Raw genomic sequence first — 22,146 nt, forward strand, 5'->3', positions numbered from 1 at the left:
GTGAAGGATAATTGTCAAAGCCTCAGCAGTTAATCACATTGAGACATACGTTCTCATTCCTCACCTGCAGCCAAGGCCCACGCAAACTTACCCTTCGGCCTCTGATGCCTTTGGGTCCTGTTGTTCCATTTAGCCCAGGTTCACCTGGGTTACCCTGGGAAGAAAGCCGAGAAGTGGCACAGTAAGCTTTGGAACAGAAGATCTCACTGAGGGTCCGTGGGGTAAGACATCCAGGAGACGTGTGGGTCACACTTTTCCCGGGCAGCCAAGTGGTTAGTTTTGATTCACTTTTCCAGTGGGTTACTACTATATTTGTGGTATTTGCAGATGGTCTTAATTTAATTAATCAGTAATGATACTATCATGTAGGTTATAGCATTTCACAGCTTACAGAGTACTTTGATTGCAGCATATTTTATTTAAATCTCATAAACACCAGGACAAGTACGTATTATGACCTCCACTTGACAGATGAGAGAGTATTTTAGGGAAGGAAGGGTCTTTCTCAGGGTAGCCCAGTTAACTGAGTGGCTGACCCAAGACTAATGCCAAGATATTCTGATTCTCAGTCCATGGACATACCAGAGCCATCCCAAAATCATGATGATGCTTCACCGACCAGGGATTATTTACCTTTGGTCCTGGGTATCCAGGGAATCCTCTTTCTCCCTATAAAGGAAAAATAGATTATTTAATACTTGGTTCTAATTTAAATTCATCTAAAATAAATTGACCTTGAAAGAAAGAAATGTCTGCTGAGTCATCAAACGAAAACACTCACTCAAATACAAAGACAATTTTTAAAGAAATAATTCTTTTAAAACACAACACATCAGAAGTTGTCCTTGGAGCCTCCTGGCAGCAAGGACGCTTGGATAATCCTCAGCAGATACGTACTTTTTTGCCTCTGCGTCCTTCACTGCCAACTCCGTCTCTCCCGTCATCTCCCTAAGAGTGGGAAAGAGATGTGACTGTAGGTCGCCATGCCTGGCACACCATAACCACCGTCTCTGCCCTGCCGCTGCCCCTGAGAAGTGGATCCTTGAGCTCCTGAAATGTTTGCAGACTAAGGTACAGGAGTAGGCACACTTCCTGCTCCTGTCCTATCTTCCAAGTGTGAACAAGACCATTTCTGTAGGCGGTGGGCTCAAAGGACTCCCGTAGCAAAATGGCACTGGCGGACTAACATAGAAAGAACTGCTGGTTGCTTTTGGTAAAGATTCTGTTTGGATGTAGAATCAAAGACTCGTCAACCCCAAGAATCTTAGAATTGACAGGAATCTTGATGGTTACTTTGATTCTATGCATCCGTAAGTCTTTGATTCTACTTCAAAACCAAAACACTGAACTCCATCTCTCAGGCCCAGGTCATATTCCCCCTCCCCATATCCCTTCCCTTCCTTCCAAGTCATCACCCCTAGACCCCCTCCTTTCCAACACCTCCCCCCAGCATGCTCAGATCTGTTCCTGTTGCTCTCTCATGAGGAGCATTCAGAACTGGACGTCATTAATTATGAATCAGAAGAATCAGAAGAACGTGTGTGAATTGTACATTACTATCTCTAACATATGTAGGAATTGCCACTTAGTTAATTTACAGTTTTCAACAGATATCAACAACTAGAGATCTGTTGACCCAAATTACTAGAAACAGAATCAGGAAGAGATTTCCTTCAATGGTTTGAAGTCTGATTTTTTCCCTGTGCTTCTGAGATTAAAAGTAATACAAACAGATTCGTTTTTAAACTTCAGTTAGTTGAAAAGACAAAAATGAAAGACAGAAAAATATTTTGATGCTTGGAATTAAAACAGTCAGATCAACCTGGTCCTTTTATACAGTGTTAGGTGCCATGACTCCTTTTGGAAAAAGTCACAATGGACCGTAGATTTCTTTATTCTTTTGTAACGTAGAAATGTACATCACAAAATTATTGTTGGTGAGTTTTTGGGGCATTTTTAAATAGCATTTAAAAAACGAGTTACTGAGGTAATAATTTCTATTCCTAAGATGTCTCATTCAAAAGAAATTGTTTCCATCTGGACTGAGACCTAATCAAATCCAATTCCATTTTAACCCAAATGACATTTACTTCTTTGCAGAAAAGCTTCATCTAGTTATGCTTGCAAAGCATTTGCGGGACCTAAGATGAAGGTAGTTTAAGCTTCATTAGCCTCTACATTCTCTTGTATCAGGAAAAACACAGGGGAAAAAATGTCTCTCCCCACGGCCCGCCCCACCTCTCTACCCCTGCCAATAAAATAAAACTTGTTAAATTAATTTGCCGCAGATGAGCAAGTTTCAGTATTTCCAGCCGTATCCCCAATAATACAAGAAGCAAGGCTCATCTTTATTTGGAACCCTCTCCTGGCTTCCTGCACCTTCCAGCAAAGAGTCAGCGACAGCCTGACCCCAAGCGCGCTGTGACCTTACCGTCTCCCCACGAGGGCCCCGGTTCCCGATTCCTCCTTTTGGTCCTGGCTCTCCGGGCTCACCCTAGACATGAGAAACATGGCTGAGACCCTGTGGCCTGGGGCTGGCTTACAGTGTGATGCCAAGCCATGCTTTTGCTCTAGGTAAGGGTGCTGCAACATGCTGACTTCACCTTTGAGATTTCGGTGGAATGATTTTCTAAATTGCAACATTCATGTGCAAACTCCTGGAAAAGAATCCAGGAGGGTTTTGTTTGTCCTTTTCACCAGCGTGGCATGGGGGACGGGCTGATGAGAAGAGAGAGTAACAACTGGGAGAAGAAGGCACGGAAGGCGGTGGGCATTGAGCCCAGCATAAAACCCCAAAACACTCTCCAGGCAGAGACCATCGTGGATTCACAGGAACTCATTTCTTTTACAGAGAACATGCAGTCTTTTCGGACTGGTTATGACAAATTGTAATTTATCTCAAAGCTGATAGAAAGGAGGTTCTCAGGCAGCCTTCATACAGCAGACTTGCTGTTATCCAGGACAGTCAGGGTCGGGGCTCTTGGATGATCTAAATGTGATTAGCTGAGCCACTGTGCGTGCACTGCCCATGTTTAAAGACTGCTCGTTCCATATTATACTGAAACTGTACCAAGCACTGCCCGGCTGCTCTGATGGCTCAGAGGGTGCTGCACTATTGGCACAAGCCAAGCAAGAGAGGAGCAGAAAACCTGGCAGCTGATGGAGGGCTGTGGCCAGGAGAAAGCCAGCCCTCTGAGCAGAGATGGTTGGTGGCAGGGATGGTGGTGGGAATTATGGTGGGGATTGTTGGGGGACAATGATTCCACTGGCCAAGCCGCGATCAACAGGGGAGGCTGGAGTGGGAACCAGTAGTACTGAAGAGGAGGGACAGACAGACTGACCAAAGAGGGAGAGGGGCATGTGTGCCTGGCTGGTCCCTGTCCTCAGGAAAGCTCTACCTTTCTAAAGACAAACCTTTCTTCCCAGTGGACCGGTTCTGCCTCGTTCTCCAGGAGCACCAGCGGCACCTCCGCTTCCCTGGAGCAGGAGGGGAGGAATGTGTCAGTGAAGTGGCCAACCGTCCAGGCAAATTGGTCTCTGAAACCTGACTCTCCCCTGCATGGAAGTCAGAGCCCGCCAGGGGCATGGAACCTGTCCCACCTGCAAATCCCAAGCACTCAGCTCTGAGCACGGGGCTACGGACTCAAATATAAACATGCACAGAAATGGCATGCACAAATTTAAAACATGAGTATTACCTCTCAGTGCCAGTTTTCACAAATTAATGCATGTTGCAGTTATTAATGTACATATCCTAGGTTCCTGACAGGACGGCAAGCTCCCAGATTTTATGTGACTTTATTCTGCCTCCCTTTTCACACCCTCACAGTGAGCACCTGGTACATATGGGCATGTTAAAGCCTGTTAGGTGAATGAATAAACTGATGGATGAAATTAACTCTTAAAATGTGGTACAGTCTACGCAACCCACAAATAACATAAAAGAGATGGTGAAAAAGTGCAAATTAATAAATGTTTCTGGAGCTACTGGATAACTATTTGAATAGCTTTGCATCTATACCATCTTAAATTGTTGATTAATTACAAGTTAAGTAAATGTTTTTTAAAAACGTCTAAAGATATGTATTTATCAGCTTTCAAGCTAGAGAAGGACTTTCTAAGCAAGTTCTTGCCTGCTTCCACCATAAAATATTTTTGTACATTTATGTAGCAACATATTGAGCTCGTTACCAGTTTATTAGTCATTTTTTGGTAATAAATGATAGGATGCCTCCCTCAATATCATCTCAGCCATGAGGGAAACCCGAATACGTAATTCCGTGACACCTGATCCTAGCCCAGCAATGACAGTGTGTCTCTGCTCATCATTGCTGATAGCTGCTTTGCAAGATAACATCTGCAGTCACAGCAAGTTTAAGGGCCATCTTCTGTGCTGAACTCATGGGTGAACTTGAGGCACTCACTATACAAAATACATAAGCACAAGGGGCTATCTCCAGGGACCAAAGGGGAAACACCTTGCAGAATCTAAGCATTTTGGTAGATTTAGATTTTCCAGGATTCCATCCTGAGGCATATCCCCTGATTTCCACCCAGGGACACTTGGAAGGAGCAGAATTGAGACTTAGAGGCCCATGGAGCACCAAAAAAGGAAACTCTTACTTTCTTGGGGTGAAGTAGCCAGTCACTGCAAGGCCTGAGGTTAAATCTGGGGTTTTTGTTGCCAAAGAGGAGAGCTAAAGGGAGGTCTGTCTACAATAGCATCATCCGAGAAACTCTCTCAGCCTGCTTGGCAATGTGCCCTCTGTTCAGCTAGAGAGGGGGCTGGTATTAGGACAGGCTTACCCGAGGTCCAGAAATGCCTTGTTCTCCTATCAGCCCTGGAGGACCAGCAGGACCAGCTGGGCCCTGAGGAAGGAAAAGACCATCGTGAGTGCTAATGAGGTGACTTTCCATGAGAAGCCTCTGCATGGCATCTGCCCATCCCACAGGGCCTGGAACCTCACTTCTGCTGGCCAAAAACGGCCACCAAAACCCACAATTATCCTGTCTTAGCTGCAGTAGCAGCTGCCTCAATCCAGATCGTGAATAGGCAAGTGAGCTTAAAATGTATACAAGCAACAAGCATTCAGACAAAAACGTGTAGGAGAATCTTCACAGAAGCATCATTCACAATTGCCAGAAGATGGCAACAACCTAAATCTCCATCAACCAATGAGTGGATAAACAAAGTGTGCTGTAGCCACACAACAGAGTATCCTTCCATCATGTAAAGGAATGAAGTGCTTCTACATGCTGCAATGTGGATGAAGCTCAAGAACATGATGCTCCGTCAAGCCACACACACAAAGCTGCCTAGTAAATGATTCCATTTATACAAAATATCCATAGTGGGCAAATCCATAAAGAGAGAGAGATTAGTGGTTTCCAGGGACTCGGGGTGGAGGGTGATGGGGAGTGACTGCTAATGGGTACAGGTCTCCTTCGAGACTGTGTTTTGAACCTAGATAGAGGTGATGATTGCACAGCATTGTGGAAGTACCAAATGCCACTGGATTGTTCACTTTAAAATGGTTAACTTTCCGGATATAAATGCCACCCAATCATTTTTTAAATGATTTGTGAAATATCAGAGGGCACACAGTCACACACGGAAGCACTCACCTGTGCACCTCTGGTCCCCTGCTCTCCCTCAAAGCCCGGCTGGCCAGGACCGCCCTTGTTGCCCTTTGAAATAAGAGAAGATGCAGGGAGGAGTCAGGATGGTTCCTGTCAATGTCAGCTCTTTGCTCTACAGTCATTTCTGGGCCAGGGACTTGGAAAGCAACCAGGGAAAACTCAGCTCTTCCAGAGGTAACAGATGATCAAAGCGGTAACCCCAGGTGAGACACTGAGCACAGGAGCCAGCTGTCTCCCTGCACTTCTACAATTGTTCCTCACTCTTGCCTCACCTCTCCTCGGACAGCTTTGTGAAACAGGGATCATTTAGACCTAAAGCAGAGGACCGAGACACCGGGAAGTTGCGGGTTGCTGATGGCCAGATAGGTGAGCACGTTCTGGAAGAGGCGCCCGCCCGGGACACTACTGCCTCAGTCATGTTTCCTGCACTTGGACCCCAAGTCCCCACTGGGCACCATTTTCTCTAGACTCTGCAGAAGAGGCTGTTTAAGGAGACGGCTGACAGAGCCTCGGGAGCCAGAACAGCCCAAGGAGGATGAAAGAAAAATAAATCTCAGAACCCCAAAATCGCTAAGCCAAAGGGAAAAGTCAAGCTGGGAACTGCATCAGACAGAGCTGCCTCCCATTCTATTCTTAAATAAGATAGCTACAAAGAATTTTTTTTTTTTTTTTTGAGATGGAGTTTCACTCTAGTTGCCCAGGCTGGAGTGCAATGGCATGATCTTGGCTCACTGCAACCTCTGCCTCCCGGGTTCAAGTGATTCTCTTGCCTCAGGCTCCTGAGTAGCTGGAATTACAAGCTTACAAGCATGCACCACCACGCCTGGCTATTTTGTATTTTTAGTAGAGACGGGGTTTCTCCATATTGGTCAGGCTAGTCTCGAACTCCCAACCTCAGGTGATCCGCCTGTCTCAGCCTCCCAGAGTGCTGGGATTACAGGCATCAGCCACCGTCCTGGCCAGATTTTTTTTTTTTTAAGCTGAATACCTCCCTCACATTCTGCCCACAGGGAAATTCCTTGTGGACAAAGGACAGACAGAACTGAAAGTCATCCCTCTGCTCATGGGAGACAAAGGCATATCCAATTGCTTCCTTCGCCCTGTTTTTCACTAAGCCTAACTAAGGCATAGGTGACTGTTCTGGTAAACTGTGTATTCAGTGAAAGGCTAATCAGAGACTCAAAAGAATGCAACCTTTTGTCTCTTATCTACCTATGACCTGGAAGCCTCCTCCCCTGCCTCGAGTTGTCCCACCTTTCTGGACCGAACCAATGTACATCTCACACATATTGATTGATGTCTCATGTCTCCCTAAAATGTGTAAAACCAAGCTGTGCCCCGAACACCTTGGGCAGGTGTCATCAGGGCCTTCTGAGGCTGTGTCACGGGCATGTCTTTAACCTTGGCGAAATCAACTTTCTAAATTGATTGGTATCTGTCTCCGAAGCTTTGGGTTCACAGGAGAGAGTGTTTTTCACTCCTGGGCTGGGCGGCATCTGGGCTGTTTGAAGAGAGTCTCCAGGGGGCACTGCATGAGGCTCACCTTAGCTCCGGGGGGTCCCCTTCGGCCAAAGCCACCCTGTGGAAGAAAAAGTCCCACAAACTGTGAGGGGGAGCATGGGACGCTGGGCATGGGGCCTAGAGCTCTTTCAGACTTCACCCTCTTATTCTGCGGTTACTCAGGGGAATCTTCCCAAGCACCCACATCGTGCCAAGAACCAGAAACCACACCTCATCAGCCCTGGGGAAACTCGCACACACAGACACCCTTCCTCCACCCTCATCCGGGTGAAGTTTTGCTTCCTTGCTGCTCCTGTTAATCACCCAATGGAAGTTTTGAGAATTACTGCAGACCTGCCAAGCAAAATAATGACTCCTTTTGGCTGCACGATCCCAGCCAGTTTCAAATGAGGAATGTGAAAAGGGAATGTCAACCTGTCTATTTTTCTTCCACCTTCCCAACTGTACTGAGAAGTCATGAAATACATTAATTATAATGGAAGGGAGTCCCAGGTTCTCCAAGTGATCCCGGCCAAACACAACACACACTCGGTTAAGTAAAATATCTGAAGCACACACATGTGCACCTAAACGTCTCGTGTACTTAGGTAGGGCTCACGACTTGGCAACATCTTCCTGGATGCTCCAGAGGTGACCTTTAGTTCAAACATGTGGGCTTACTTCACAAGTAATCCATTAATTTCCACCTCAAAATTGTTTCCTCAGCAGTAGAAAGGTTTGGGGTGGGACTTTATGAATGTCCCAGGCGGTCTTTGCAAAGTTAGGGTTGGTGTTGCAGAGGCTGTGACCGACTAGCTCTGTTGTGGGGCTCAGTCATCTGCTACATCAACCTAGGAACCTCACTCTCCACTTCCAATGGACCAGCCCAGTGATCTGCGGTGACCAGTTTGCCATTATTCGCTGTAATGCCACCTGCTTCAGCGGAAGATCTTGGCCACCTTCCATGGAAAATTTGAGACAAGGGGACACTGTTCTCCTCTACAAACCAACAATCTGGCCTGGCCCCTCCCAAAAGAGACATGCTAGAGTTCCATGAGAGTCCAGCAGCACTCAGTGATACATTGCTCAGGCCAGAGGCCGCCTGCGGAGACTCTAGAAAGGGGATGTAGGCATGCTGAAGCCCAGTGGGAGGGACACATTTCAGCTTGGCCTGAGCCTGGCACTGTGGTCCTAAGGGAAGGGATAGCAGGCCATTAGACCACAAAAGGAAGAACTGAGTCCTCAAGAGCCCGTGACTGAAACCGAATTCAAATCCAGTTTCTACCTTGTGTGTAGAATTGAAATTAATTGTATGAACTACTCAATTTTAAGTCATTTCATGAAACCAAGTTTTGGCTCTGCTCACACGCTGAGTTGTAATAGCCCATTGTAACATTTGATGAGTATTTCTTCTTTTTCATTATATAGCTTCTTTTTCATTATATAGCATTATTCAAAAATAATGCTCACTTCCAAGCAGTTGATCCAGGTCTTTACAATTTATTAAAAATAAATAAATAAATAGTGCTCAAACATTTTAAAATGATATTTTCAAAATTTCTATTTTCTTCTGAATTTTCAAAGCAAAATGATGCCCATAGTCCATCAATTTGATTTTGGTGAGTCGCTCCTTTTGAAAGCCCCTCACCCCAGCGAACTCTACTGGCCCAAGTGCCGGGCCGAACGAGCCACTGCCCCTCAGGGCGTGGCTGAGGGCCCAGTTCCCAGCACCCAGCCCCAGCTTGCAGCCTTTGTGCTCTGTTCATTTCTGAGCAGAGACCTCCCCTAGGCACCCACCAGCATCCTGAATTTCCTCTGAGAGGTTACAAACTTCTACACCACTGGTCTTCTCCCAGCTACAAGGCAGATGCTGTCTGTGCCCGAGGACCTTGGAAGCTTTTGGTTGGCTTCAGAAAGATCATTCACATCACTTTGACTTTAGCATTTATTCAACAAGACTGAGGATTAGGCATACAAGGAGCTATTCTGCTACAGACATTTCTGAAATGTCTTGAAATTGCAAGATGCAATACGCCAGAAAAAGAAGAAATCTAGTTTTTTTATTTCACTTACAGCATCCCCCCAAAAACCCACAGATAATTACAAAAACAACAAATCCACAACTCCCTCAGCCCTCTTGCCCCTTATTCCCTCCCTCCCCCAGTATTAGGATTTCCATTTGGGTCTCTTAAATATTTAGTTGGATCAAACCTGGCCCGATATTTGAAAGTAGCAAAGATATTATTTTTAAAAGTATCTGTTCAGTATGTTTTTGGGGAGAGCAAGAATTGGGGAGAGAGAAGAGATGAAGCACCAGGGAAATTATAAGAATGAAAATAGATTGGAGTAACAACCGTTTCAGAAATCCTTTTACATTCACTCACTGCAGAGCTGTGGACTAACCATGCACCAGGTCATGTTGGGCAGATCTTATGGCACTAAGAATTGTCACAGAGCCCCCCAAAGCCCTAATGGCACTCACATTCTTCCCAGTTTCTCCAGGTCCTCCAGGTACTCCATCTCTCCCTGGGACACCCTGGTGTGGGGAAAATTAGCATGAGATTCTCATCTGCAGAGAAGAATGTCTAGCTCTGAAATGCTGCACAAGACATTGCAGGGAAAGGGGTCGATTCACAGAGGAAGAGCCCGTCTGCAGGACAGTTGCACACTTTGCAGGATGCACCGGACTTCAGTACACTCCCACCTCTACAAGCCTTTGGCTTAACAAGCACCTTCCGTAAATATCTAAGAGGCACAGATTCTGCTGAGAAGCCCCACTTGGCAAGGGTCACTCTGGTTCCCCACGGAGACTTCCTTCACGGGGACTCTGCTGCTAATCTTAGGCTACGTTGCAGTGTTAAAGGCCACGTCTTTGGCCTCTGTGGCTGCTGATGAGCCGAGAAGTGTGTCCTTTCTCTTGCCCTCAGTACAGGGAGAGTCTAGGAATGTGCAGCACCTTACCATGGGGCCGAGGTCACCGGTTTCTCCTTTGGGTCCTCTCTCCTGGCTGTCTTGTCCTGGGTTACCCTGAAAGCAACATGGGAAAGGGAAATGAGCCACATATGGAAGGAAAGCAGCTGCCACTGGACTGGATGGTCAGGGAAATATTAGCAAGGACCTGCATGCAAGGCTTCGAGGGACAAGCCCTTCGGCCACAACCCATCCAGGTAACATCCATGCAGGTCTTACGAAACCCAATCACGGGATCAGCAAAGCACTCTTAGCCCCAAACAGGTGCAATCGTTCTTCCCCAGGGAGGAGGATGCCCCAGGCTCACTCCTGCTTATCCTTGGCCACAGAGGCAGGATGGACTGGAAGAAGAGGCTAGCTTGTACTGCTCATTTGCTTAAACGTTTTACAGAGACACAAAATGAGAAAAGCTGCAAACTCTTCTCTTTTCCAAAAGCAAATTTGAAGTGCCCTGATACCACATTTTTGGAAACTTCTCAGATATTTGTATAACAGGACTTGCAAATGATTATCTGGTTAGCAAGAGAACCAACACATCTCCCCAAACCCCCAAACTGCAAGAAAAAGACAAAGCACATATTTTATCAACGTGTTTTAAAGCAATTTCAAAAGTAGAATTCTTCCTTTCATCCCCCTTTCCCAACAACCCTCTTCCCCAGGCTCAGGTCTGAAATCGTCAATAAAGAAATCTTTACCGGGTCCCCTCGAATCCCAACATCTCCTCTTTCTCCTTTCTCTCCTCGAGGTCCTTTATCACCCTAAAGAAAAAGCACAAGTGGATGCTAAAAACTAGATGTTTCCATTTTTATCTCACCCTAAAAATCACATTCTTCAACTCATAAATCTTAACTAGAACAATGTTTACAATTTACTCATTCACCATGAAGGCAAATTCACTTCCACATATTTTTCATTCGTTTAGTAAATCCATGAATATTTATTGGGGACCCACTTTGTGCCAGGCACTGGAGATTTATTTATAACAAAACAAACTCAGTCCCTGCCCTATGGGATGTGATCTCGAAACAAGAAAATGTACTGTAATGTGTCAGAGCTGAGAGGGGATGTAATGGGTGCACTCACAGGGGAGGTCAGGGAAGGCTGCCTGGAGGAAGCGGGCTTGATGTATATGAGGAAAGAAAATAACTATTCCCTAAATGAAATGTTGATATTCTTTCCATAATAGCACCACCGTGGAAATACACCTACCCTTCTTCCAGGATTCCCTTTCTCTCCAGAAGAACCAGGCAATCCTTTGTCTCCCTGCCAAAGACAAGGATTAAAGGTCACACCTGCTGCAATTTCTATCACAGACTGAGTTGTTAGTTTCTGGAATCTTCAGAACCAAAAGCAGTTTGGACTTAGAGTAAAATCACTTACATCTTCACCATCCAGACCATCCAGTCCAATTTCTCCTACTTCGCCCTAAGAGGGAATAAGGCGGACAGGTAAGTATAGAAAGCTATTCTGGCAAAGGAAGAAATGAGAAATACTGGGAGAGTTTTCCATTTGTAAAACAAAACCAAGCTTGCATACCTTCTCTCCTGGGAATCCCCGAGAGCCCTAGAAGGCAAGGCGATAGGGGAAGCATTAGCTTTTCCTGCAGGGCTGGTCCCTCGGGCAGAAGAGGCCAAGGGCTGTTCCCCCACTCCACCCCATTTGAATGTTGCAGTGTCTGAAAATGTAATATTAGAGTCCTACCCCTTTGGATTCCTCTCTCACCACCACGTGCGATGTTTTAAAACTAAAACTAGAACTGAATGCTTGGGTGGTCTTGGCTCCCTGGGCCGGCGGGGGTGGACCCCAAAACCCAGGGCAAGGAGCTGACTTTGTAACTTTGCAGCCCTTCCCTTCAGCACCTGCCTTCAAACTTCAGCAAACAGAGAAGCAAGTTCACCAGCCTTCAACCCACCTGCTGTCCTCTCACTCCACTCCCTTCCCTGACTGCTCCCACGGTCCAGGGCCGGGGCCGTGGGCACCAGCCTACCCTCCGCCCTGGCCCATGTTCTCTCCTTGTGAGGGTTTCCTGGCTTCTTCATGTTTCCACAGGAAACTATTTCTCCATTCTCAGGCTCCCCACCAGCTGCAGCCCCTGCTCCTGAACCCACCCTGCTCAGAACTGCCTTCCAATGAGAGGTCACGGGCTGCTGAATGCTGAGGTCAAGAAGCCTGGACCAGCGCCTCCCTCCCTGGCAGCATCTGGAGAAACTGCGAGTCACCTGACCCCTCCCCACGCTAGCAACCCCATCACCCACGCCTCACCTTTACTCCTCTCTGGCCCGGGCAGCCCTGGAAACCTTGAGTGCCGTTCACACCAGGCGGACCACGCTCACCCTGTTGTGAGAGACAAAGGCATTTTGCAAGCTGGAGCCCTTCATCACCCTTTCTCTGCCGGGCTTGCAGCAGCGTAAAGGGTACTGTGAACAGCATGCAGCAGAAAGCAGATTTCACCATGGGGAACGCCGATCGAGGCTACGTGAGCCAGGGAGCCTCTTGGGCCCCTGCATGAGGCCTGGCCTGGAACCTGCAGTTTCCCTGAAGGGAATGAGATCTGGGAGGGTAGCAGCGCAGACAGCACTGCCCTGTGGGGCAAGGGTGGGTGGCCCCCAGCACTGTGTCTCTGTGGGTGCTGAATCCCGGGAAGACCCACCGGGCTGACAGCTCCTCCAAGTGATGCTTGATTCCCAGTTCTCTAGCCGAGCCCTGCCGGCTGGGCCCTGGTGACCACACTGTTCCTCGTGAGCCCCTCTGTCCCCTATCCCAGGGCTGGACCTTGATCTAGGGTCCCAAAGCTCCCCAGACAGGTGTCTGTCTTGGGCATTGCTCCCATGGACCCTGCTACTGGGGTCTGTCCATCCCCAAGACCCTCGGATACTGATGATCTGATCCAGCAACATCCCCTCCAGGGACTACCCTTAACGGGGTAACCCCTAAAGCCCTGGTGAGGTCTCCTGCTGTGTCCCTGCCCCTCAGCTCACTCCCATCTCTACTTGCATGTCTTAATCTAGTAGATACTGGGTGTGCAAATTCGGTGTCCCTCTGGCTCAGAAACCAATTAATCCCTCCTTCTGAAACAGAGTAAGAACAAATCCCACCCTTCATGCCCACATTTGTCATACTTCAATTATCGTACTTAGACATCCAGGCAAAGTTGTTAAGAAAAGTATAAATTAATTTTTCTCCCAAAGGGAAAGCCATCAGCAACTGAACAAATGATGAAATCCACAATGCAATCCCAATGGGTAAGGATCAAGGAGGGGGTGAAATTTTAGGGACTAAAACAATTTTTACTTACGGGTCCACCCTCATCACCAGGATAGCCTCGGTAGCCGTCTTCTCCAGGAATACCCTGAAACAAAGTAATCGGGTCCTCTGTTTAATCCCGTGGTCTTCTTTGCTCTACAGTAAGAATCCCTGTGGTCCCCCTTCATTTGGCAGAGCAGCACTAAAACTCAGCATGGCTTTCCCTGTTACTGCTTTTCCCCTCAGTACACCATGTCACGATTCTCTCTATCAGGATCTCTAAGGCTCCTGCTCTGCCAAGAAAGCCTGTTAGTTCCTACTGACTCAGAGCAAATGCTATGAGTTCCAGCTGCCATTCGCAGCCAGGCTGCTGTCAGGGACGCCAGCTGCCTTTAACATTATTTTATGAAATGAAGGACCAAGCTGTTAAAGCACAGATCCCCTTATCCTGTGCAAAAGGAGGGTCCCGCCTGAACCATCTTCACTGGAACAGGCCCCAGCAGAACAGCACGCAGGTCTGCCCCTCAGAGCTCCTCCTTCTAACATAAGAAATGGTCTCTCGTCTCCTCCTTCATCTCCACACTCTTCTGTTAGAGAAATTACCCCACCAAAGTAATGTCGGGCTTCTGACACCTCATCTCAGGCGTGGGCAAGGGTAAAGCCACCGTACCTTTGGCCCGATGCTGCCGATGGGCCCGCGGTCTCCCCTCTGCCCAGAGCACTTGCAGGGAACCCCACAGCAAGCTTTCTCGGCAATGTTGTCCTACCGAAAGGAAGAGAAACCAAATGTTCAGATCTCAAGAAATGCCCAGCAGAAAATCATAAATGCGCTTTAAGGGTCAAAATCGGATGTGTGGGGGTTTCACGGTGTGAGATGAAGTCCCTCCAGGTGACATTTGCTGGACGACTGACGATATGATAGAAATTGCCAGCGAAGTCAGGAGGGCCCAGCTCCTGGCGGTCGGGGTGCAGATGGGAGGTCACCAATAGGAAAGTAAAGAACAACCAAAGTAAAATAGATCTTATCCACAATATCACTGCAGGCTGGACCTTATTTCTAGAAGTTTCCATCATCAGATCTTAACTATAACTTACATATGTTCCAGTTCCAAAGTGCAAAGCCAAGCAAATGGCAGATGGCCAAGACTGAAGGTGGTTCCAGAACAGATATCCATGACCACCCTTCCTTGGAACCAGGGTGAGAGTCATGGGATATGGTACCAGCCCAGAAAGAGGCTTCCAGAGCAGCCATGGTGGGAGCAGGCACAAGTGGTCCTGGCCTCGGAGCCAAAAGCTTCTCAACTCCAGGTCACACAGACACCCTCTACATTCTCATCCCATCTGGCCCCTGACCTTATGTGGGAAAGGGCATGCCCAAATACATTTCCATCTGCTAAACTAATGGTGGGCACATGCACTTTCTTCCAACGAGCTTCCAAGAGCTTTCCCTTTCTCCCATATCCCAGATTTGTGAGCTAACTCAACCTACTTCCACTAGGAAAAAAATCCTGATTCTAACCCTGCAAAGAAGTATGGAAGAAAGGAAGGTCCATTCCTCCCATTCTCATAGCCACAGTCCACTGTTGCTACCATCAAAGAATCTCTGAGTTCGCAGCTCAGCCCCACATCTTCCAAAAGCTCCATCCCCAGTCTAAACCCAGGAGGTCACACCTCCAGCTGAGAGAGGCTGGCCCTGGGGAGAATGAGGAAGCCTCAGAGGGAGCTTCATTGACACAGAGGGAAACTAGGGAGGGCAATTAAAGCACTTCTCCACCCAGAAACAGCCTTTCTTTTCCTGCATGTTGTTTTTATCATGCAAGATTTCAGATGCTCTTGACACAGTTTCCAATTGGAGGATGGACAATCTCGATGGTTTGCATCCCTGCAATGGTGTTAAAAGAGGCCGTTGCTAAGGGAGCAGAGAAAATGCTAAGGCCACAACCTCAGCGCGCCCAGGATCCCCTTCCAGCTCGCTGGATTTCCAGCGATTTGCTATCTCCATTTCCAGATTCACATGTGTTATGGCAACAAGGCAGTTCCCAAGTGAATTAAATAAATTTAACTATCTACCAAGGCCCCCCCCCCACCTCCATTCACCTGCTGATAATTAACTTCATTCTCTTGAAATGCCAAAAGGTGTGGTATCTACACTGGTCTGTGTATAAAGACATAAAAAAAACTCACAAGCTGCTCCGCTAGTTCATAATCCAAGTCCAGCAAGTTAAGCCTCAGGGGCCTGTCATACATAAACCCTCGCCCAAACTCCAGATGCATTAGCCGCTCCAAGTTGACCACTCGTTCAAGGCCCACCAGGATCAAGGCACGGACTCCTGCAAAGAAAGACACATTTAATACAGCTCACCTAGGCATGTGGAAAATGCAATGTCCTTTTTTCCTGACTACATTTTTAAAGAAAACTTCAGTGTAAAATTTAGCTTTTAACTTAAATATATTTAATCAAGTTTACTGGCTACTCTGAATTGTTGAAATACTCAAACTTTGGACTCTGCTGAATAATTGTTTCCGGTATGTCAATAACTAAACCTATTACTAAAAATATAGGAAGTGGCATCCATGAAGTGTATTCATGCATGAGTTCTCAAACTCAGGCCCTCTGTAACACGAGTATGCTGTGGGAAGTATTGAAATACTAACACCTCCAAAATCAGATAATAGCAGCCTCATCTCCATTGCTTGGGAAAAGTAAGCTAATAAATAGAAAGTTCTTAGGATAAATTACACTTCTGTAATGGCATCCACTTTCTGATAGTCAGTGCTACCAAACGCCAAAGCAAGTGAATAGTCAAAGATCACATCTGATAATAGGCATGGCTGTCACCTTATGTTTGGTACGTCATTGCTTACATTATTTTCTTTGTATTATTTGGGTGTAGTGTTATTAAATGTTGAACTGTGATAACTGCAAACCAAAAATAGAGCAATGTATTTTTATTAGTAACTAATTCCTAGTTTATGTGATGAAGTTAAATGAATCAATACGTCATGATCTTTTGCAAAAGCATCATGCTTTCTGAACATTCTACCACCTGAACAGCCACAACACAACAGTAAAGCTGTCTAAGTACAGAAGGAATTTTTGTTAGCTCCATCCCACAGCTCCAAGCAGGTGATGAAGGGCCACAACGCTGGGAGGAAGAGTCTCCCAAGACAACGCTGCTCCCTTGGGGCGCTGCATTAGCAGAGAGGTTTCTCTCCAGCAGAGCAGTACACCCCGCCTCACCAGGGTTTACTTCTCATATTTAGAAAGCCTTGGCACCTACCTTCTTGGCGGAGGTTCTCAGATGCTCTGTGTAAATCAGCCAGATCTCCGTCTGCTCCATCAGTAAAATGAATGACCACCTGCAGATAAGAGAGCTGTCAAATCCCAGGAAAACTAAAAAGGAGTGTTGCAGACTGCTGATAGAAAACTGAGAGACTCGCTGTCTCAAGCCCTTCATTTTACACTTAAGGAAACTGAGGGCCCAAGTTGAGGAATGATTACCCATGTTCACAAGACTTTGATATTGCACTTAAAATGGAGGAGTATATTTGAGTGCTTAATTTATTTTAAAAAAGACAAGCAGCAATGACAATAAAAACAATTTTTATCTCATTCTCATATTTCTAAGATGTAGTTTCTGCGAATCATATGCATATGTGTGCATGCATGTGTGCGTGCATGTGTGTGCATGTGTGTGGGTACATATGTGTGTGTATGGGTGCATTGTGTGTGCATGTGTGTGCACGTGTGTGTGCATGTGTGGGTGTGTGGGTGTACATGTGTGTGGGTGCGTATGTGTGTGCATGTGTATGGGTGCATGTGCGTGCATGTGTGTGGGTGCATGTCTGTGGGTGTGTGTGCGTGTGTGCATGTGTGCATGTGTTATGGGCTAAATTGTGTCCCCTCAAAATTTGTATGTTAAGTCCTAAACCCCAGTACCGTAAGAATGGGACTGTATTTGGAGATAGGGTCTTTAAAGAGGTAATTAAGGTTAATGAGATCTTTAGAGTGAACCTTAATCTAGTATGACTGATGTCCTTTTAGAAGAGGAGATTTGGACACAGACATGCACAGAGAGAAAGCCATGTGGAGACACAGGGAGAAGACCCCTGCCTACAAGCCAAGCAGAGAAGACTCAGGAGAAACAGCCCTGCCGACACCTCGAGGATGTCAAGCCTCCAAGACTGTGAGAAAATAAATGTCTGTTCCAAAAGCCCGCCAGGCTGTAGTACTTCATGATGATCCCTAGCAAACTCACATGGTGTGTGTGTCTACACAATATATATGCATGTATATACACACATGCATGCATGCACACATACACACAGAGAAATGAAAGTGGAGAACGTACCTGACTGGACTATAATTAAACATAAATCAATCACAAATTCAACTCATTCAAGTTAAACTACTGATTTCCAGGATTCTTTTAGAGCTTACGTAAGACTACCAAAATGAGGAAGACAGTACATGACATTAGATCAGTTAATAACTAAGGGATTTTCCATATAGACACTAACAATCCAGTGAAACATGAAGAGGATTTAACTTGGGGGAAGGGCTTCCTCCTTTCCAGTAAAAATTTGGAAATTTCCCAGGGAGCACCTGAACCAACTGGCCCCACAGACCTTCACGCTGTCCGGCGAGGACTGTCTGAACTTGTTCAGGTAGACCTTCAGGGTGTCCTCCGTGAGGACGTAGGGGTGCTGGCTGCGCATGTTCCGGAACTTCTCGAGCATCTCTGGCTGGTACTCGTCAAAGTCAAAGGCCTCCACCGGGCCCGAGGGCGTGTTGGCCACCACTGACACACGCACGGTGGGCGAGCGGCCACCGCTGCAGCTGACCCTGTGCATCTGGCTGATTCTGTTCAAGATGGCGTCCACCTTGGACTCGAAGCCCTTCTGGGCCACAAAAACATTCTGGTCTCTAGAACCATCAAACCCCAGAATCACATCCAGATTACAAGCTGGAAAGGAGAAATGCAGGTGATGAGTTCTCAGCTGGGGCTGAGGAGACGAACTCTACTTATACCAGCAGTAGGGACAACCCAGGCAGAGGACCAGGGCATCGCACTCAAGTGCAAAATGAGATCCTGTGTGTGTGAGCTTTGAGAAGCAATTCTATCCACCCCTCTCACAGAGAGAAATGAGGGTAGCTGTTAGGTGCCAAATAGTAAGCTATTTTAAAAAGTCAGCTTTGTTGGTGGTGTTAATTAACTTTGGTGTGATGATACACCACTGGTGTTTAGATGCACCCCAAGTTTGTGCTTTAAATTAAAAGCACTTGAAAATCAAATATTCTGATCTCAAATACTTGATCTAATAAATCTATAATTAGACACAGGAATCAATAAATCTGAATTGTTTGAGGGATTAAGGAATAGGGGAGAAAAGTAAATCTTATAAAAGCAAAATATGATAGACTTCTACTCTTGTCTTGGAAGAACGCCCTAGGTAGTGGTGAGGTGGGTGTCAGGACCAGTCCCAGTGGGTATAAGTAAATGTATGAAGCAACCAAATGCCTAAGGACTCCAGAGGTCAGCACCAGGGACCAGACAGCTAAAGAGGCACAAATGTCAACAGGAAAGGATGGAAAATATGCACATAATGGGAGTTACCTTTGGCAGCATCAGTTACACCAGGGCAAAGGGTTTCATGCATCGCATCATGCAAAGTTTCCAAAACTTGCTCGCTCAGTTCGGACAGCTCCTGGACGTTGCCCACGCGGAACGCTGTGGCGCTGTTGGACGCTATCTTTCCAACCTCCTCCGAGTCGATATTCCTCACTCCAACAGCAAACACTTTGACCCCCCTCTGGGTGAGGGCCAGGCTCACATCCTGTGCATCTTCCACCGACTTTCCTCCCGTGATCACAAAGGCAATCTGAGGGACCCGCTGGTCCAGGCGGCTGCCTGCCTCAGGCACAAAGTGGTTTACCCGCAGGTGCTCAAGGCCCACCTTAGTGTTGGCGTGTCTTCCCCCTTTGTAGACCACTTTGTTGATGGCGTCAATAATCTGCCTCTTGGTAGAGAAGTCCTTCAGGAAGAATTCGTCAGTGGGGTCAGAGTTGTACTGGACAAGCCCCACTTGGATGGAGTCGCCATCTTCATAAACTGTGTCCACTATTTCAGACACAAAACGAAGCACTTCCTGGAAACTGTCCCTCCTGAAGTTGATGGAACCATCCAACAGGAACACAATGTCTGCTTTCTTCTTCTCTAGAAGTGATTAAAGTGAAAATAAGGAGAGATTAGGTTTCCAGACCCAGAACATAAATACACAAAAGGTAAAATTAAATAACTGAAATAAGACATTCCTAATAATTTATTCACAGTGAAACCTTCACTCAAATCCATGCCTCTTTAGCCTGTAGTTCCTGAATTTGCAGCTCCCAAACATGCTAAATACAAGAAGATGAATGATAAATCCTCTAAACAAAAAGGAAAGGAGAAAAATTATTTGATGTCACACTCTGTGAAAACTCAGTGACAGAGAACTTCAGTTATCCCGTGCAAAATGGCATTGTGACAAGAATTCAATAGGGACCTGGCTTTGACATTTGTGATCTCAAGTGTTTTAGGAAATGCCACTAGAAGTTTCCTTTGTGGTCAAGAATTTTAAATAGTTCCTGGAAGTGAAGAGATGTGTGTGAGGTGCAAAGCAAGGAAGGACTAGGAGAAACAGATTGGAAAATAGGAAGAGGCCCCTTAACCTTTGGATGATGGTCTGAGAGCTTTGTAGGAGCTGGCTGAATATCAGTGGTGTGGAGGGTAATTTCTTGATTATAATTAAGCAACTGAGACTGGAATAGAGAGGAGAAAGGATGAGAGACAGTGTGAGGGATGTGAGATGTGCCACAGGCAGCCTGGTAGGGAGCAGTGAGCTAGGGAAACAGGCATACTGCTCCCCTTTGAAGAACCAACCCTAATGGTTTGCTTCAGATGTCTACATGGCGATTACTTGGAGGAGGGACAAAGAAAAATATGGGCTGGTGGAGAGATCCACTTTGCTTTTGCAGCCCCAAAGACGAGAACCAGGAGCACGGGGTAGAAGCTGAGGTGGACGACTGCAAGTCTTCCAGGAAGGTGCTCCCTGATGGTCCCACCAGGCCAAGGAATGAGGGGACCTGGACTATATTGGGCATCTGGCCAGTAGGCATGGGCCAACTTCAAAGTCACATTCAGTGGGGCATGGACTGGCTGATTTCAAAGATGCCATCCTATTCTGAGAGCCAATGAGTTTGTAATTATCTCAGTGCAACACTGCAGAACCTTTCAATGGGGCTATGATTAGTCTCAGGAGTGATGGAAGATCAATAATATGCTTCCTTCTGCAATTTCAATGGAACTACTTTTCCAGTATTTAATTTCTAATATTATCTGAAGAAACAACCCAGAGAGAAGAAAATTATTAAAAATGACTACTGATTACTTTTTTAACTAAAAAAAAAATGTTGATGTCACACTCTGTAGTCATGGGTCACACGGTGCATACCTGGCCGTGAAGGAGGAGGGGTGTCCACCCCTGGAGGTGCAGGAGTGGCTGCGGAGGGTCCAAACGAGTTCATGATTCTTTCTTCTATGTTGGGAAGCTCTCTGAACTCTCGCACTGTGAAGACCAGTCTGGGGTCATTGGTGATGGTCTGCAGCTCTGTTCTGTCGATGTTCCGGTCTCCTACCCCTAAACTCACAATGCCCGAGGAACGGATCACCTGGGCGAACCTGGACACATCGTCCTGGGATTTTCCACCCAGGACCAGGACCAGGTGTTGGGGCACCCCGTCTTCTATGCGACTCCCCGCAGACTTAACAAAGAGGTTTCTTGCCACAAATTCGAGAGCCTTGCCAGTGTTCAGTGGGGACCCCCCTCTGAGCCTCAGGCGCCGTATGGCGTCCAGCACCGGGGCCTGGGATCTGTAGGTTTTCAGATAGAATTCTGGGAAGACATCATTGCTGAACTGCACGACCCCAACTCTCACTTTACTGGGGCCGATGTTGAGTCTTCGAACAATCCTGCTAACAAAATCTCGAATATGTGCAAAGCCATCTGGCCTAACTCCCTCAGAGCTGTCGATCAGAAAGACAATGTCTGCAGCATCACTCTCAACTGCTGCAGATCAAAGAAGAAAAAGGGAAACATTCAGTGTGTAAGTAGCCCTCACCCAGGTTTGGTGTGCACCTTGCACCATAATCCTAATCAACCTTAAGATTATATCCCAAGATGCCTGTGTTGTTTGTATCTCGGGCTTTTTGAAATTAGCCGTTAAAAATTGGACCTTTTACACCAAAACAATTTCTGCTCCTTGAAATATTTGAAGTTATCCAAAACGTGTCTTTCTGAATTTACTCTATTTAAATTTTGGCATTGTGGTCTGGGTTACTACTGATTTCTAAAATGTAAGGAGCATTTAGAAATCAATCTTGGGCTACCGTAATCTACAGAATCATGAACTGTTGCTACCAGAAGAGACCAAGGCCACTGGGATCTATATCTTTGTTGTACAAGAAGAGAAACAGCTGAGGCCAAAGGTTCTCGCCTTGTCCAAGGCCATCACTTAGCAAGTGAGACCCCTGAGGAGCCCAACACCATCCCAGCATGCTGCGCAATCTCAGCCCATGGGGGCAGGGTACGTATAACACAGTGCCATATCCAAGGGGTCACATTAATGCTCCCCAGGCATTTGTGCCCTCGTATTTCCTTTTTGCTCACACATCTCTAGCATTTATATGAAGTTTTTATTTTTCACTATTATTCCTCTATTTCCTTTTCTTTCTTTTTTTTTTTTCTGAGACA

General features: G+C 46.5%; 1 protein-coding gene across 3 annotated transcripts in view, besides 2 other annotated features; it reads right to left on the minus strand.

The window, feature by feature from the left end:
• Positions 1-22,146, minus strand: part of COL6A3 (collagen type VI alpha 3 chain) — a 90,147-nt gene that overhangs the window by 23,698 nt on the left and 44,303 nt on the right. For all 3 annotated transcript variants that reach the window (NM_057166.5, NM_057167.4, NM_004369.4), the window contains 22 exons: positions 20,848-21,462; positions 18,972-19,571; positions 17,983-18,320; positions 16,635-16,713; positions 15,538-15,683; positions 14,024-14,116; positions 13,406-13,459; positions 12,373-12,444; positions 11,647-11,673; positions 11,491-11,535; positions 11,320-11,373; positions 10,806-10,868; positions 10,102-10,167; positions 9,623-9,676; positions 7,184-7,219; positions 5,626-5,688; positions 4,807-4,869; positions 3,415-3,477; positions 2,432-2,494; positions 898-948; positions 634-669; positions 92-154 (listed from right to left, as the gene is read on the minus strand). In NM_057166.5, the coding sequence (NP_476507.3) occupies positions 92-154; positions 634-669; positions 898-948; positions 2,432-2,494; positions 3,415-3,477; positions 4,807-4,869; positions 5,626-5,688; positions 7,184-7,219; positions 9,623-9,676; positions 10,102-10,167; positions 10,806-10,868; positions 11,320-11,373; positions 11,491-11,535; positions 11,647-11,673; positions 12,373-12,444; positions 13,406-13,459; positions 14,024-14,116; positions 15,538-15,683; positions 16,635-16,713; positions 17,983-18,320; positions 18,972-19,571; positions 20,848-21,462 (2,744 nt within the window). The remainder of the gene's footprint in view (positions 1-91; positions 155-633; positions 670-897; positions 949-2,431; positions 2,495-3,414; positions 3,478-4,806; positions 4,870-5,625; positions 5,689-7,183; positions 7,220-9,622; positions 9,677-10,101; positions 10,168-10,805; positions 10,869-11,319; positions 11,374-11,490; positions 11,536-11,646; positions 11,674-12,372; positions 12,445-13,405; positions 13,460-14,023; positions 14,117-15,537; positions 15,684-16,634; positions 16,714-17,982; positions 18,321-18,971; positions 19,572-20,847; positions 21,463-22,146) is intronic.
• Positions 11,511-11,805: a silencer, noted in NCBI's record as "tiled region #1020; HepG2 Repressive non-DNase unmatched - State 21:Repr, and K562 Repressive non-DNase unmatched - State 22:ReprW". NCBI's record gives its function as "represses a minimal TATA promoter and a strong SV40 promoter by Sharpr-MPRA in HepG2 and K562 cells {active_cell/tissue: HepG2 | K562}" and the evidence as "EXISTENCE:reporter gene assay evidence [ECO:0000049][PMID:27701403]".
• Positions 19,129-19,628: an enhancer, noted in NCBI's record as "H3K4me1 hESC enhancer chr2:238275487-238275986 (GRCh37/hg19 assembly coordinates)". NCBI's record gives its function as "activates a minimal SCP1, AML or CMV promoter by ChIP-STARR-seq in naive H9 embryonic stem cells {active_cell/tissue: H9 hESC(naive)}" and the evidence as "EXISTENCE:reporter gene assay evidence [ECO:0000049][PMID:30033119]".

This window comes from Homo sapiens, chromosome 2 (genome assembly GCF_000001405.40).
Source record: "Homo sapiens chromosome 2, GRCh38.p14 Primary Assembly".
Lineage (NCBI taxonomy): Eukaryota > Metazoa > Chordata > Mammalia > Primates > Hominidae > Homo > Homo sapiens.